This window comes from Homo sapiens, chromosome 9 (genome assembly GCF_000001405.40).
Source record: "Homo sapiens chromosome 9, GRCh38.p14 Primary Assembly".
NCBI classification, from domain to species: domain Eukaryota; kingdom Metazoa; phylum Chordata; class Mammalia; order Primates; family Hominidae; genus Homo; species Homo sapiens.
In genome coordinates this window covers 28,459,030-28,477,762 of record NC_000009.12, presented here as the reverse complement: position 1 = coordinate 28,477,762, position 18,733 = coordinate 28,459,030, and the positions used below count along the sequence as shown (strand labels likewise).

The following is an 18,733-nucleotide window of genomic DNA, read 5'->3' as shown; positions in this document are numbered from 1 at the left end:
TTATGTGAGCAATTTATTGTAGAAGGTGTCAAGCGTGGGATCAGTGAGAACAGGTAGAAAGCTCTTGCTATATTCTAAGGGATAGATGATGGTAGCTTCAATTGGAGTATTGAAGTGAATTATATGGGTATTAGCTATAATTAGCCTGTAAAATCACATGGAAAAGAAAGGTATCAAGGAGATGCCTACATTTCTGGCTTGAATACAAGGCAAATGTTTCAGTTTCCTAGAAAATGGGGGAAGACTTAAGAAGGTATATGAGGAAAATGGAGAATTTCAATTTGGGTCAAGTTTGAAAGGTAATAGAATACCTTGAAGATTAAGAGAATGGGTTCTGAAAAAGTTCAAATCCTACCCTGTTTTTTTTACTAGCTGTGGATCTTGAATAATTCACTTAAACTGTGCCTCATTTTTCTCATCATTAAAAGTAGGGATATTAATAACACCTGCCTTCCAGGGTTTTTGTAAATATTAAATTAGATCATACCCTAAAATACTAAGAACAGTTCATGATACAGTGTAAACAATACGTAATTATTGCCATTATCATTGGTCACACAAGTGGCAGTGTCATGTAGGAAATCTGATATGTAAACATGAAGTTTAAGGAAAGTGATTGACATTCTAATTATTTTCAGAAAGCATTTTTTTCCTCATTATAGTTCTTTTGAGAGAGTGCAAATGATCCTAGAATAGTTTCTACTGTTTTCTGCCAACTTATCTTTCTCTCTTTCTGTGGTTCACTGAAGGGAGCTGGTGTGGAGTAGGGGAAGAAGGAAATGATTGATCAAGAAAATGGAAATGTCATATTCTAATCCTGAAAAGAACATCTCATTTCCTTTTACAACTTTACAATTCCAAAAGCAGATTCCAGTTTTTAACTGATTGGATTTAAATTTTCCTTAATAAATTAATCATTACTGTTTTTGACTTGTCCATTATATTAAATACATAAACGACAAAGAATAATCTTAGACTTGCATGCTGACCACATTGTCAGATTTTAACCTTTGAAAGCAGGTTTACGGACACAGCAAGTCTTGTCTCCTTCCGGTCTGTTTTCTCTTCATTACGTTATAACAAAATACCATTTTGCCTTCTGGAGTTTAAGTACACAGATCTTCAAATATATGAATGGCTTTAAACATGAGTTTCCTTTATTCATCTATTTAATAAAACAAGAAAATAGGCCGGGCGCGGTGGCTCACGCCTGTAATCCCAGCACTTTGGGAGGCCGCGGCGGGAGGATCACGAGGTCAGGAGATCGAGACCATCCTGGCTAACACGGTGAAACCCCGTCTCTACTAAAAATACAAAAAATTAGCCGGGCGTGGTGGCGGGCGCCTGTAGTCCCAGCTACTCGGGAGGCTGAGGCAGGAGAATGGCGTGAACCCGGGAGGCGGAGCCTGCAGTGAGCAGACATTGTGTCACTGCACTCCAGCCTGGGCGACAGAGCGAGACTCCGTCTCAAAATAAATAAATAAATAAATAATTTAATGATTAATTTTAATAGATTGTTATGTTCCGTGGATTGCAGATAAACATAACAATATTCTTAACTTCAAAATGGAAAACCACACACATGTGAAGTGAATTAATCCCTACTGTGTTTCTTTCAAACCTTTATATAACAAATACTATATATGTTAATTATTACCGTTATGGCCATTAATATAGTAAAATCCTTCTTGAAGCAAGCGAGTGTCATTTTTCTTTTCATTTCCTATTTTTTGGCAGCCTGGAAATAGGGTTATGAGAAGAAGCTCAGAGCAGAGCACCGAAAGTGGCCACTACCAGCATGAAGAGCCCAACAATTCAAACTGGTAAGTGAGTCTCTTTTTCTAGGTTTCAGGATATCTTTCGATTCTGTGTCTTATGCAAAAAGTCTGCATAGTTTATAAATAAAATGAGAAAGCTTCTAAAATGTACCCTGTGAAATGTATTTTCATGACTTGGAAGACTTTAGGGAGGTAGTATTCTATGGGAAACTTGACCACATTTTTTTATAGACAGACATGGATTTAAAGTAGCTGTGTAGGACTGTGGAAGTTGCTGACGTTGTTTGAATCTTCGTTTCCCTATTTTAAAATGGAGATTATTGTTGTTGTCTGGTTAAACTTTTTATAAGGATTAACTAAGACATTGCATATAAAGAATTCAGTAGTTTTCTTAGCATAAAGAGCTTAAAGATATAAGACTAATACTTAATACTTTTCACATACCAAGTAATAACCACTAAATACTTTCGTGTATTATTTCAACCTCACCTCAACCTAAAATTAATAGTCATAATTACCCTTGTTTTATAGATAAAGAAAGTTTGCTATTAACAGATGATGTGACTTGCCTTTAAATCATATGCTGCTCCCTGAGACAGTTATTTTGTGTGCAATTGTATCCACTGCCAAAATTTCTATTTTTGTATTTATACAAAAAGTATAAAAACCTTTAGTATCTAATAGATGCCAGGCTTCTTTTAGCTGAGATGCCATGCTACTTCACAAATAATTATTACTTAGTATATGATGACTGTATATTTATATGAGGCCTTATAGGTATAAATAGCTTATGAATACGTAATTGTGTTTAGTTTTCACATACTCTGTAAAAAATGCAGGGTGGAGTTCATTATTCATATTTTTACAGATAAATTCAGGTTCTGAGAGACTAATTGGCTCTCTGGATGTATTAGAGCTCAGTGCTTCTCAGACTCTCTGTGGGTTAAGAGTCAGTTTATTTTTAATGCATTGTAGATTGAATGTTTTTGTAAAATTACTAAAACTTGCTAGAAAAAATGAAATGATAAAAAGAAGACAGAAAATATACAGATTTATATTTTTATTCTTATTTATTATCATTCTACAAACAAAAAATTACCTCATTTATATAACATTTTTCATACTTTCTCCCAATATCCATAATCCTCATGGTGCAGACCAGTTATTGTTTGCAAATTGACACCAGCCTGACCATACAGACAGGTGACAGCTGACCATACAGCACTGGTAAAACTCATGTGATGCAAGTGAAACACTCAATCTAGATTTTCCATCTCCTAGTCCAGGACTTCTCATAGTACCCTTGGCTGCCTGAACACACAGTAACAAACCTGTTGTATGGTCCAAGGGACAAGAAGATCAACTTCCAAATTGTTAAAATGAAACTGGTGCAAGAAAAATGAAAAATGACAAAAATTATAAAAGAGTAGTATGAAACAACTGACATTAAAAAATTAGGGGAAACATTTGGAAGCCTGTAGAAATGACTTATTCTACATTGATTTATAAGACATCTAGACTTCTAAAAATTCAATATGTGTTATGTTTTTGAAAAACTTTCTCAAGTTTTTTTATGTCTCTTCTTTTTTCTTTTTTTATTCTTTGAGAAGGTAAGTTAAGCTGTATTTAGGAGACTAGACCTTGTCAGTTCAAAGCAGTTTACCGACCTGTGTACAATTCTAAGAGATAAAGGTGGATCCTGGCCTCCTGTGAAATAAAAATGAACTCATTTGCACACTACATTGAAGGGGCTTGAAAATAAATGTTACTTGTTCATTTCAAAACTACCAAAGAAAATTGCAGCACTTTTGGTGCAAAGTAAAATGCACATTGAGTCAGCAATGAAAATTTACTTTGTAAGATGATTTTGTGGCTTTCTCAGTTCTACTGAAATGGATCCAAATATTTACATGTGCTATTTTATTAATAATTATTTTACCATCTGTGTCAAAGTAATATTACACAGATGTTCGGGAATAGCTTTTGGTTGTGAGTAAACATTAAAGGAAGATTGAATTTTTCTCAAAATGATGCTGATGGAATGTTTTTTATCATAGTTTAAGATGTCAGAAATAAGTTTTTTTTTCTTAGCAGTGCTTGATTTAGCTTAAAATGGCTGTAAGGGCCCAGAGAAAGATGACATTTTATGATAATATTCAAAACTGACACTTTCAGTCAACCTATTATTAGTTTCTGGGAAGACTCTACATTGCTAAATTGAAATTCACAAACTAAAGTAAAGAAAACCTATGGCCTTAAGTAATGTAGAGAGACCCTGTGTTTCTTCCCCATGACTCAAAGATCCAAGATTTGTATCACTCAGAAAATCAAGCAGTCATACATGGGCACCTTTCTTCAATCAGTGCCTCTACATCTACAGAAAAAGTGATTACTTTTTCTGCTCCCTCTGAAAAGGGAAGAAAGGAAGGAAGAACTTACAGTAATGCAGTATGTCCCGGGAAAGAGATATAGTCCCAAAAGCACTGTAGGTGTTACAGTAGTGGGAATAGAGACAGTAGTAATGTGTGCATGCTCACAGTGTGTGTGTGTGTATGTGTATGTGTGTGTGTGTGAGAGAGAGAGAGAGAGGCTCTAGATATTTTATCAGATCAAGGTGAGACGACCACAGAATGGAGAAAGACGATGATCCATCTACCAACAATTCTAGAAGAATTGCATTAATTGAATGCTGCTACTCATTGGAATTTGGGCCTGAATTTCTTCATAACAATCTACTCTTCAACTGTGAAGCTTAGAAGCTTTCTGCTGAAAAAAAAAACAAGTTATCAGTAGAACCAAGGGCTAATGGTCAATCTTGTCACTTGTCTGTTAGAAAACCCTACACTTCAATAGATTTTTATCACAATCTCAGATCAGTAAAGAAAAAAATAACAAGACCATTAAAGCAAAACTCGTTGTCAGTAGTAATTACTTGACATGGAAAATTAAAGTCTCAGAGGAAAAGCATATATAAAGCAAGAGTTAATACAGAAAGCAGAAAAAATGTTTTAGAAAATTGTTTTCCATCCTTGTGTATGCATTGAATGACTCAGAAATAAAAAACACAGAGATTGGATATATTAAAGTACAGACAATTGAAAAGAAACAAAAATGTTACAGAAGAATGATATCTGTCTTTGGAGGCAACAAATAACAGAATCAGATTTGTGCAAAGGAAACTGAAGGAGCACTCAGTTTCTTCAGAACTGCAGAGGGCAAAGATAAACTATGAAAATAATGAGAGAAAACATATGACCAGTATGGAAAACAGAAACAAATGTGTAGGTAATTATTTATGAAAAGAAGAGACCAAAATAAATAAAAAAAGAGCACTAATCCAACAGTTGCAAGGGAAAAAAAACTTGTTGAAGAAATAAATGGAAAGGGTTTTTTTAATCTAAATATTTGCTGTGGTCTACGATTTTTTGTATTGCATGGAAATTACTTATTCTTTAAACGTTAGGACAACCTAATAGTAAACTTAGACAAAGATTATCTTCGGTCTGACAGTTTCTTTTTTAATTTCTCATGCTTCTATGGTTATTAGTCTATTCAAGATTTTCTTGATTCCCTTAACATATTTTGATAATCTGTGTTAACCTAGAAAAACTACCAATACTGAGTAATTATTCATGTGTGAACCTACATATTAAAAAAAAAAAAACTTGAAGTCAATGCACTAGTGGAATAAGAAGTAATTTTTTATTTTTTAACTTTAGTCTCTTCTGTTTTCTGGTATATAAAATAACCATGTATCATAGGTTAAGCAATATTTGTATCAGAACATACATGAGAACAGTGCACAAATCATAAATGAATAGCTAAATGAATTATCAGAATGTCTACAAACCTGTGTAATACCACTCAAATTAGGAAATAAGACATAATGAACACCATTGAAAGGGCCCTCTTTTTTCTTTCCAAGTCACAAATTCCAATCCCTCACAAGGCAACACCTTTCTTGAATTCTAATACTATAGATTATTTAGCCTGCTTTTGAGTTTTATAAATGTAATAATAGAGTTTATACTTGTTTTATGTGTGGCCTCTTGGTCTCAATATTATGCTGTGAGATTCCTATGTGTGGCAATAGTTTAATTTTCAATGTATTTCATCATGACCAGATTTTGGACCTTACATACTTATACATGTCTTTTGGGACATGTGTGTGAAAATTTCTCTTGCTGTACAATTGTGTTTATGTGGCTTAAAAGCTTGTTGGTAGACAGATGCTAGTTTCCCAAAAGGTTAAACCAATTTGTATTCCCACTGACATAGTATAAGAGTTCTAGTAGCTCTATATCTTTATAATCACTTGGTAATAATTATCAGAGATTTTTGTTTTAGCTGTTCTGTTGGGTATACTGTGGTATCCCATTGTGGTTTTAATTAACTTTCCTATAACTGGTAAGAATGGTGCTATTGTTCGTGTGTGTCTCCCAGAATTCACATGTGAAAAATGTGGTCCCCTGTGTAGCAGTGTTGGGAGGTGGGATCTTTAAGATGTGATTAAGTCACTGAGAGAGAATAATGCCACTCTTGTTTGATCCTGTTAACTCTTGAGGGAATAAGTATGTTCTTGCTCTCAAGTGACTGGATAATTTACCAAGACAGCAGGCTGTTAAAGTAAGGCCACCCTCGTGTTTGGTCTCTTTTACATTCACTGTCTTGCCCTTCTGTTTTTCTACCATGTTATGACACAGTATGAAAGCCTATGCCAGAAACTGCTAGTATGCACTTGGACCTCCCAGCCTTCAGAACTGTGAGACAACTAAACTTATTTTCTTTACAAATTGCTCAGTCTCAGGTATTCTATTTTAGCAACAGAAAATTAACTAAGACAGATGGCATTGGTATACCAGATCAACAATTCCTTGGCTTTCTCTAAGTTAAAAGGTACATGGAAATTTAGAAGAGGCATTAAGAAGCATAGTAACTTTATTTGCCTCCACTAAATGAATACTCAAGTCTTAAAAAACCTATAATTTCCTATTATATAAAGAAAATTATATATAACATATATAAAGAAAATTATGTATAATATATATGTTATATATTACTTATATTTTATATATTTGTTACATATATGTACTATATTATATATTATATATAATTACAGATATATAAATTGTATAAAACCTTATGTCATTAAATGTATGCAAGCCTAACAATCCCACTTAATTTAAAATTCAACATCTATTTTTTTCAACTTTGACTTTTCCATTAGCTAATTAATACATTATAATCTATCAATTTTTGTCCTGTTTCATTGGGTACCAACCTATCTTATGACAGTAGAATCACAGCTGAATGGCGATGATTAGAATTTGTTGCAGGAGAATGATTGCATACCCCATTCGTGTGTTGGGAAAACTAATTATTTGTTCAGCCATTTGAAACTAGGGATGGCACATGGGCAACAGGCATGAAAATGATCCAGGAGGGCAGCATGATCTTGACAGAGGGCCTAGGGCTCCCACCCATGCAGCAAGTGTGACAGCTCCATCACTTTCCCAGTCATTTCCTCTGGCGAGCTATGTAATGGTTGATTTATTTCCAGTACTATTAGTTTCCAAACAGTGTGAGAGCCTGGATGATATGTTGTTGAGACAATTTGTATGTGCATAATTTAATACTATGTTGTCTTATGGTATTCTTGCTTATGAAGCCATATTATCAGGAATTAGCAAAATTCAAATACGTTTTTCTTTGTTTTATTTTGGTAAAATATATGACAACAAATTTACAACTTTAACAGTTTTCAAGTGTACAATTCTGTAGGATTAAATACACTCTCATTATTGTATAGCTATCACCAACATCAATCTCCAGAGCTTTTTCACATACAGACTTAACTCCAATGCATAGGAAAACTCTACTGCTTTAGAGCTTCACCCTGTTCATCTTTATGTTATTGATTTCACAAATTACGTCTATATATACATATACATAAAGGGTATTCCTTTATGTATACTTAGAATTATTTTATACATTTGTTTTTTAAAATCCTGTAGAAAATAAAAAGTTAAGTTACAAACCAAAATTACAATAATACTCTTATTTCTGTTTGTCCCTGTGTTCATTTTTACTGGAGAACTTCATATTTTCATATGACTTTGAGTTACTGCCTATCATGTTTTCATTTCAACTTGTAAGACTCCTATTAGAATTTCATATGTAGTAAGTCTAGTTGTAATTAACTGCCTCAGTTTTGTTTGTCTGGTGAATGTTTTAATTTCTCCCTTATTTTTGAAGAAACTTTATGCCAAATATAAGATTCTAGATTGACAGGTTTTTTTCTTATTTTAGCACATTAAATATATCATCCTACTGCTTTATGGTCTGCAAAATTTCCACTGAAAAATTCAATGATAGGTTTATCAAGGATCCCTTGTACATGATTAATGTTCTTTCTCTTGCCGCTTTCAATATTCTCTCCCTGTTTTTGGCCTTCAGAAATTTGATTGTAATGTCTCTTCTTGTGAATCTCTTTATTCTACTTGGAATTTGTTGAGCTTCTTGGGCTTATAGATTCATGCATTTCCTCAAATTTGCAAAGTTTTCAGCCATTATTTCTTCAAATAATCTCTGTATCACTTTATCTCTCTTTTATCTTTTTGGATTCTTATAATGTGTACAGCAGTCTGTTGATTGGTTTACTGTAAGTCCCTTAGGTTCTGCTCTGTTCACTTTTCTTTACTCTTTTTTTTTTTCTTTTTACTCTTCAGACTTAATAGTTTTAGGTGACTTTCCTTCAGGTTCACTGATTCTTTTCTTTGCTTGTTCAAGGTTGCTGTTGAACAACTCTAGTGAATTTTCAATTCAGATATTGTATTTTTCCACTCCATAATTTATGTTTGGTTCTTTTTTATGATTTCTATATTTATCGATATTTTAATTATGTTCATATATTGTTTCTCTACTTCCTTGAATTTTCTCCACATTCTTCTTTTGCTCTTAGAGCATATTTAAGACAATTATTTTAAAGTCTTATCTAGTGAGGCTGATGTGTGTGTTTCTTTAGAGACAGTTTCTGAAAGTTAACTTTGTTCCTTTTGATGGACCGTATTACCCTATCTCTTTGAATGCTTTATGATATTTTTGTTGAAATTTGGTCATTTAAAAAAGAGGCCACATCCCTCAGTTTTTGCACACTGGCTCTGTGCAGGGGAAAACTTACTAATCAATGTAATATGAACACATAAAGTCCTCTGAGACCTTTTCTGAGCATATATTCTGTCTGAGCATGTGTGTATGCTTTTCCCTCTTATAAATACTGTAGAACTGTGATTGCTTTCCAGAGCTCCTAAAAACCTGTATTAGTCAGTCTGTTGTTTTTAATGTTCCTGTGGGTAAACAAGGGCTTGGAGCTTTCTAATCTACCAACTTGCAGATGTCACTCACAGACCCTGTTATGTTTCAAGGAGTCTCAACTCAGCTTCTTCTTGGGGCCTTAGATGTTCTACTGTATTATTTCCCAATAATCTCTTACCTTCAGTTTCTGTGGACCTGCAACTTCCCCTCTCTCCTGCAGTTTTTGCATGCATGCCACTGGTTTACATGGTTTCTAGCCTAAGATCCCAACTATACTACTGTTTCCTCTTCTGAGTTCCAAGTAAGGAGAGTGAGAAACTAGTGCCTTGGCAGTGCTCACACTGGTTATAACCTTGCAAATATGATCTACTTCGCTCTTTCTGGTCCAAGTGAGGGAACTGGGTATTGACATCATCTTCCACCTGTGAAGCACAACATAGGATAAAGAATGGGGCAAAGGCAAGTAAAACACTATGAAATTTCTTACCATTTTTAATGTGGCTTTTTCTTGATTGGGCATTTGCTTGGTTTCTGTAGATTTTTGACTATCAGATATACTATTAAATTATATAAATCAGTCTATAAGTTTATCTATTTATTTTAGTGTTTGTTTTCTGTGATGGATAAAAGGGCTTTGAGCTTTCTATTCTGCTACTTTCCTGATTATTTTTTAAAAGTTTTTAACAAAATACATTGTGAATGTAATACAATATTGTATATTTTGTATATTATTTTGATATATGATTTCAGCATTGGAAATAATTTCAATGACTTGAAAATATGTTATAAGCCTTTCAAACAGGGAAAGCAGAATTAGTTAGTTATTCATGTTGACACAGTTGTATTATGTTATTTCCTACTCTAATATATGACTCAAAGGTAAAGATTAATTTTTCATGTGACTTTTATTTGCAATCTATGACCCCAATAAGCACTGTGTTGAATTAGGCTTCTTTAAAAAAATTCCAGTGGATCAACCAATTTTTACTCATTAAAAATAATAAAAAATAATAATATGTAATAAAAATATTTACTTCTTCAATTTTACTGTAGTTTTCTAGTTTTAATCAGTTTGTTGTTCAAACAAGCAACAGTGTTATAAGCTAACTTTTGAAGGAGAAAATGCATGCTATGGTATTTAAGGAATTGTGGTTCATTTTAGATATATGATTTCAGCATTAACAAAGAAGAATTCCAATGACTAAAAAATATGTTATAAGCCTTTCATCATAGGGAAAGCAGAATCTATACGTTTCTCATGTCAATATTGTTTTCACTATGTTGTTTGCTACTCTAGTATATGATTTGAAAGGAGAAAGAGCTGAGGTTAAGAGTCAGCTAGGGGGCCAGGCATGGTGGCTCACACCTGTAATCCCAGCACTTTGGGAGGCCGAGGAGGGCAGACTACGAGAGGTCAGGAGATCGAGACCATCCTGGCTAACACGGTGAAACCCCATCTCTACTAAAAATACAAAAAATTAGCCAGGCGTGGTGGTGGGTACCTGTAATCCCAGCTACTCGGGAGGCTGAGGCAGGAGAATGGCGTGAACCCAGGAGGCGGAGCTTGCAGTGAGTCAAGATGGCGCCACTGCACTCTAGCCAGGGCAACAGAGCGAGACTCCGTCCCCCCCCCCCAAAAAAAAAGAGAGTCAGCTAGGGTTATTTTTATTAGTGGAACAAATCCACCCACTTTGCCTTTGTATCTCATCAGCAGAGTTAGTTTGGATTAAGTGTGTATAAACAATAATTTTAGTCATTTTTAACCAGTTTGTAACACCATTTCTAAAGTTCAACAATATGCATGTGATACAGAGATAGCTGGATAATTTTATTCATGCCTTGTGTTCAATTTAATAAAAGAGAAAAACACTTTGAGTTAAAGTCACACTTTTAGTGAAATGGAATGCTGTCTTTTTTTAATTTATAATTATTGTGGGTACAGAGTAGGTATATATATTTATGGGGTATATGAAATATTTTGATAAAAGCATAAAATGTGTCATAGTCACATCAGAGTAAATGGGGTATCTATCACCTCAAGCATCTATCCTTTGTATTACAAACAGTCCAGTTGTACTCTTTCATTTATTTCAAAATGTACAATTAAATTATTACTGACAATAGTGACACTGATGTGCTATCAAATACTATATCTTATTAACTCTATTATTTGTACCCATTTATCATCACCACCTCCCCCTCTTCCACCTACCCTTCCCAAACTCATCATCTACTCTCTGTCTCATGAACTATTTTAATTTTTATCCTCCACAAATAAATGAGAACATGATCAGTTTGTCCTTCTGTGCCTGGCTTATTTCATTTAGCATAATGACCTCTGGTTCCATCCATGTCACTGCAAATGATGGGATCAGCCATCTTTTTTATGGCTGAATAGTACTTCACTGTGTATATGTACCACATTTTCTTTATCCATTCATCTGTTTGTGGGCATGTAGGTTGTTTCCAAATCTTGACTATTGTGAACAGTGCTGCAATAAACATAGGAGTGCAGGTATCTCTTCAATATACTGCTTTGTTTTTTGGGGGAGTATCTACCTAGCAGTGGAATAGCTGGATTATATGGTAGCTCTGTTTTTAGTTTTTTTTTTGAAACCTCTGAACTGTTCTCCATAGTGGTTGTACTAATTTACATTCTCACCAACAGTGCACAGTGGTTCCCTTTTCTGCATATCCTCATCAGCATTTGTTATTGCCTGTCTTTTGGATAAAAACCATTTTAACTGGGGTGACAGGATATCTCATTGTAGTTTTGATTTGTATTCCTCTGATGATCAGCGATGTTGAGTACCTTTTTCATATGCCTGTTTGCCATTTTGTGTCTTATTTTAAGAAATGTCTACTCAGATCTTTAACCCATTTTTGACTGGATTATTCAATTTTTTCCTATAGTGCTGTTTGAGCTCCTTATATATTCTGGTTATTAATCCCTTTTCAGAAGGGTAGTTTGCAAATATTTTCTCCTATTCTGTGGATCGTCTCTTCAATTTCTTGATTGGTTCCTTTGCTATGCAGAAGCTTTTTAACTTGATATTGATATGAACAGGAAGCAGGGAAATATTGGGTAAAAGAGGGCGGAGTCCCTGGCAAGGGCTCCACCCTCAAGCCTGAATTTGTGGCCCTAAGTGAGAACTTCACTTCCCTGTTTTCCCAACCAAATGTTGCCTTTTGGCCTACCATGCCCCCTATCTTGTGCTCATAAGAACCCCAGATCCCAAACTCAGCGCACACACACAAAAGAAAGAAGCATCTGAACGTTGAGAGGAGAAGAAGCAGCTGGACATCAGAGACAACGGTCAGAGAGGAGTTCAGCCGGGGATGGTTAGGCCGCCTTCCCACTTTATCCCCTTGCCAGCTTTCCATCCTACTGAGAGCCACTTCCACCACTCAATAAAATTTCTATGTTCACCATCCTTCAAGTCCTTGTGACCTCATTCCTCTTGGAATGAGAGGACAAGGACCCAGGTATGGGTGCAAGACGCTGTCACACTGACTCTCCACTGAGCTGTTTTAACACTTAAGCCATCCACAGACAGCAAAACAAAGAGTACACTGTAACACTCACCCTTTCAGGATCCAGAGGTCGCATGCAACCTGTAGACACTGCCACAGGCCTGTATGTGGGGCGGGGGGGCGGCGCCCAAAGTTACTTGCCCCTGCTCCTGCACCTTCTCACCTGTGTGCTCCTACTCCCACAAGGGTTTTGAGCACTGCGGGCTGAGTAAGCAAGCCACCCCTTCATGAGTCCCACAAACTGGTCAGGGGAACTATCCTGTCTCAATATTATTCCATTTGTCTATTTTTGTTTTGATTGCCTGTGCTTGTGGGGTGTTGCTCAAGAAATCTATGTCAAATCCAATGTTGAAATGTTGTCTTGGAAACCTTAAGTAGTGAGCTATTAAGTAATTTTCTATAGCCAAGTTCCCCACTCTAAAATAAAAAGCCGATGATGGCCTTTACCAAGAATTTCTAAGAGTTTCTTTAACAATACAGTAAAATAAATTGAGAGGAAATACGGAAGTTATGACCTATTCATTTAGGCATGTTTATTTTCCCTGAAATTATACCCCAGATGTCATTAATACATTTCTTCCACAAACACATGGCTTTCAAAGCAGGAACATTTTTAGTTTTGCATATAAGGAACTGTATATTTAACATATTCTTCAGAAACAAAAATCATTGAGGATGACAGCCATGTACAGCAAACGAAAACAACCATTAGTAGGTGTTATTAAACAGAAGATTGAATGTTCATTCATCCAAACAACTATAATATAAAACTTAGATTTATTTTGTATTAATTTATGTTTATTCTTCAAGAAAACTGAACATGGAAAAGCCTTCTGATTATAACTACTTTCTTGGCAGATAAACAGGGAGATAACAAAGTAGTTATAGTGTAACACAGGAATAGAATTTATGCCAATCACTCTGTAGCTTAGATCCTATGTTGTATAAAATACATTTGCTAATTTAATTACATGGGAAAATATTGAAATATTGTATTATGAAATAATAATTCATACCATAGACTACAAGAATTGTGAGGTCGTTTCCCTGAACAGAATATTGTCTTCCCAACCTTAAGTGTTAGGGAAATGTTTTGTCTTGATAAATATGCAGAAAACCCTAGCAATATTTTGATTCTCTATAACTTATGGATTTCCTCCTTATACAGGCATAATGTGAAGTACATTAAGATGAAAACAGGCTCATTTCCTCTAACTTTAAATAAAAAATAATTATCTTTATTGTGACAGGGAGGAGTGAATACAAGGTGCTTTAAATGTATTGGCTCTGTTAAAGATATTTTTTCCTGCCAAATGCACTCAATTAAAACAGCTATCATAGGCTTACCCTATTTTCAGTAAATCATCATTTTTTTTCATTTTATTTTTATGATTGAATTATAAAACTCTTCAATGGCTCATCTTGGCTCTCTCCCCTTCCCTGAAGCCATCTTAAGTGAATATTTTTGTATACAACAGCACAAACATGCACACATATTTGTCTGTGTAAGGTCAAGTAAATGTCCATGATTTTTCCTTTATGGCAGTTCAGATGACCTTTTACAAGCCATTTGCCCCTAATACTCAAGTCTTAAACCCTCCTATTTAATTTACATTACTTGATCTTTTTGTCAGTAGAAATGAAAAGTCCTAGTATACCTATAATCCAGACTATCCATGGGCAAAATTGGAAGACAGGTGAACACTTTTCTCATTTTTCTTCATCCCATTTTTCTTTCTTTTTTACTTATTTATATATTTTTTGGCCTTTTGGTGCCAGTGTTCTTTTGTTCTGCCATCCCACTCATTCAAAAAATCGATTATAGTTCAGGCATCAGACAAAAGAGATTTGATAAATTTCTTCACACTAAATTGAAAGTAATGGCTAAGCTCTCCTATACAATGTCATTTTTCCTTTAATACGTGATGTTACATATCTAGGTAAAGAATTATAGATACCAATAACAAAGACTAGGGTAACTTGTGAAACAATAAAATTTGTTGCCCAAACCAAGAAACTTTTGATAGGAAAAAAAAAAGCGCTATTAATCACTCCCTGAGGATAATAGTGTAAAACAGAAGTGTCTTTTGTAAACCAGAAACTAAATGTCATCTTCTAGCCCTAGTATTCTTTGTTCAGGATATTTAACCCTGTATGTAGTTCCCACGATTTGCAGACATACACTGTCTTGCAAAACTTAATGTTAAAAGACATTGCTCTTTAAGGTGTCACCAAGTTGGCTTAGAAATCCTATGATGGGTAATTTTTTTCAATTTTTAGTTCAGAATAGATAGTTCCTTGGAAAAATCCTCAGAACTTAATTACCACTCACAACCAAGTTACTCTATGAATCCACATTACTTCATTGAGCCACTGTTTCCTTGTTTTTAAAATTGTGGGGGGAGGTAATTAAACTAGAAAATGCCCAAAGATATTTTCATCACTAATATCCTATGAGTGTGAGCAAGAATTATGATTAATTTTTATCCCTTCAATAAATAATAGCACAAACTAAAAAATCATTTATATGTAATCTATGTAAATTTTTGGAGCCCTGTAAAATAATGGTTGAAGAGAAAGGTGACAGAAATTTACAACTCCATTTTTTCCCCCTATTTGTGGTCTTCAATTGTGGACCAAGTGTGCTTGATCCCTTTCAAAAGTGAGATGTCATTGCAAATTGCAAACTCAGGTATAATTTTTTTTTTTTTTTTTTTTTTTTAGCTAGAGCATGATGAATGTTATTCTAGTGTGTGACCCTTTCTGCTGATTGTAAAATGAAAATAAGGGCATTGGTTTTTGTTTTATTTGTAAAAAAATTGTTAAAAATCAAATTATCTGCCATAATTCTGTATTATTTAAACTGAAATAATTTCACCTTAGGGATTCTGCAACAGTTACTAACAATTATAATGGCAGCTAAATGACTGTTCTCTCTTCATCTAACCCTAATGGACAGAGTCAGGTTCTCTGGGAAATCCATTCAGTTACTCTGATTCTATGAGATTAGAAGGTAGCATGACTTAGGACTTATGTAAACAAAGATAAAGATAAAGAATAGTGTTGAGATAAGACATAACATTAGAGGAGAATGAATACAGATTTTGAAAGGAGACAGATGATGCTTCAAATCTTGGCTCTGTGGTTGCTCAGTTTGTAACATTAGACTAAGTCACTGATTCTCTTTCAGCCTATGTTCCCTCATCTGTAAAATGGACTGCTGACATCTAATAACTCACAGAGTAGTTAAAAAATTTAAATGAGATAAATATGTAGAGCTGTCACCATTGCTGTAATGTCATAGACTGCACAACAATTACTTTTCTTTGCCTGAGAGTCATTAACAGATATAATCAGGAACTACTACTTGCCTTTGGAGCCTGATGTTTTTGTAACTTTTGTCCATATTAGACTCTCAGAAACTATCCTCTTACTCTCCTCTCCACATCCCTGCAAATAAAAACAACAATGACATTGATTCACAGACTGTGCTAAGTCAGATCAGCTGATGCATCAGCTGTAGGGAAGTGAGCCCTATCTTTCAGGACATCAATTCTCAATATTTGTTACTCATTAGAGCAATTGTTTACATCTTTAAGAATCTAACATTTCTTTTTATTTTCATGTTTTAGTTATTTCCAGTCAAGAAAAAATAATACATGCCCAACCTAAGTCATTAGGACTTTGTTTGATACAAAATGTGTTGCTATTTTTGATGGAGTAAACACAAATTTAAGATACCCTGTATGGCCAGGAAACACCATTTCAGAAAGCCACGAAGTAAATGATAGTGAGGGATGAATGGTAGGGAGAGAGCACTGAGACTGTGAAAATACTGCTTGTATAGCACTTTAGGCTCCTAGTGAGGCAGATCAAGAATTGTCTTATTATCTCGATATTGTATAATATGTTTCAAAAAGCCCATCCGGAACATTATTTTGATTTGTATTCCTTTAGAATCAACTTCAATTTCCAGTACTATCTTCTATCATTTTATGTTGTTATAAAAGTGAATCAAATATTTGTAGCAAACTGTAGATTTTTCTTCATATAAGAAAAGAAAAAGACTATGATGATAAAGAAGAAAGACAAACAAGAATGAATTTATGCCCAAGTGTTTAGGGTTATATTGTATCTTCAATACTCTCTAGTTGTTTCTACACTGCGGAGATTGTAGGGTTTTAAAAAAAAGTTAGGTTGAACTAAAAAGGAAATGATACAACAGTTTCTAGACATTTTTAGTCTATTTGTATGACGAAGTTGAGTTCTTGCTCACTTACCTTTTCTTCACCTCCCACTCCTCCACCCCTCCCCCCACACACAAACCACACACTTGCCCTCCAGGCTGGGAGGAATTCATTGCTGTAGAATACCATCTATCATACCACTTCTTCCCAAATACCTGCACAGTAGAGGAATTAATTCCCAGAGGGAGGAGTAAAATTTCCTGTTACAGATGCATTATATTTTATATAGCATCTTTTCATTGAAAGATCATTTTTCTGATTACACACCAGGAAGATTTTCAATTTCCCCCATTTCTCCATTACTATGTATTACATGAAGTTATTTCTTTTGCTTTCCTTTCCCCTATTGCACTATATTCTTATGTATGTTTCTAATAGCATCTTTCTCTTGTAGCAAGCAGTCTATAATCTGGACTTTAAAAGTCACCTATACTGCAAGGCTGAGTTTTTAGTATTGGGAAATATGTTTAAATTAGACATAAGCTACGTTTTGCTAATAGTTCTCAGATAGTTTTGCAAACAGTTCAATATTTCACTTGTCCAAAGGTCATTTATTTTGCAAGCTTGATTCCCAAGAAAATAACTAAGATCCTAAAAGGACTCTGAGATTTAAGAAGAGATATATCTTATGTGAGTGTTGTGCATAATGTATTTGCTCCTATATTAAGCATAATTCCAACTGGTTTTCCAGACTGCAGGGAGTTAGAAAGAGGCAGTAAGTCTGTTTAAATCAGATATACTGTCAGTGTCAAAAAGGGATAGCTGACAAAATAACAATAGATAAAAATAAAAGAGACACTCAAATTTACAGATTGGAAAAATTACAAAACCATGATTACTATGATACAGAAGTAAATTCATCAGACACACAAGAATAAATATATGCCTCATTTATTCAGTTTATGAAAAAACATGAATGTGTAATATACCTTATTAAAATAATTTTTTGAAATCAACTATTGGTTTTTATTGGACATATGCATTATGTTTATAAGTTATCTAATACAATCTCAGAAGACTGATTTTTGATAGTAACAATATGCAAACATATTGTCTTCACTTTAAATTTCAAAGCACATACAATAATATTACTTAACGGTATAAATACTTTGAAGTTTCAAATATGTCTAGGCAACAGTCTTATAAGAATGCCAGATTATCATTTATTTATTTGATAAATAATATATTTACTTGGTACCATCTATGGACCGAGAATATTGTGTGGTGCTAAGAATACACCTGTGGAAAAGATATTATTTCTGATTCTAAGGAGCGAAAAGTCTACATGGGACCCTAGATCCATATTAATATTCATACTAAATGTTCATTCATCTACCTGGAAATATTAAATCATTTAAATATTAAATGAGGAAAATAGACTTTTTTTTCTGGCACATAGAAAATGTTCAGTGTTTGTTGAAATCGATTCAACTCTCATGTATTTTTCACAACTACCCAATGAGCTGAAGCGTATCACTATCCCTACTGACTCTCAACTTGTTACCAAATCTCTTTAGCCCAGAATCCTTAACTTTAAAATGAGTATGTAATTACCTAACTTTTGGGGTTATTGTGAAGATTCAAGAAAATAGTAGCATGTGCATAGTTTTTTTTTTTTTAAGTTTTCTCCTTCCCATCCTTTTAAATGCTTATTTCCAGAAGATCAGATGAAAGAACCATAACATCATGGTGGAATATATTTTGATTGCCTTTTGAAGTTTACTAATATCATTATTTTCATAATTTAAGCATCATTTATTTTTTGCAAATTAATGTAAAATAATTTTGTAGAGTACTATTGGAATTATTATAATAGAGTATATACATACATTCATTGATGCCAGGATTTTATTTTATGGA

The 18,733-nt window shown here is 34.1% G+C and overlaps 1 protein-coding gene across 14 annotated transcripts in view; it reads left to right on the top strand.

The window, feature by feature from the left end:
• The window catches only part of LINGO2 (leucine rich repeat and Ig domain containing 2), a 1,275,985-nt gene that overhangs the window by 735,839 nt on the left and 521,413 nt on the right, over positions 1-18,733 (top strand). For all 14 annotated transcript variants that reach the window (NM_001354574.2, NM_001258282.3, XM_047422814.1 and 11 more), the window contains one exon: positions 1,738-1,823. The gene's annotated coding sequence lies outside the window, so the exon portion shown is untranslated. The remainder of the gene's footprint in view (positions 1-1,737; positions 1,824-18,733) is intronic.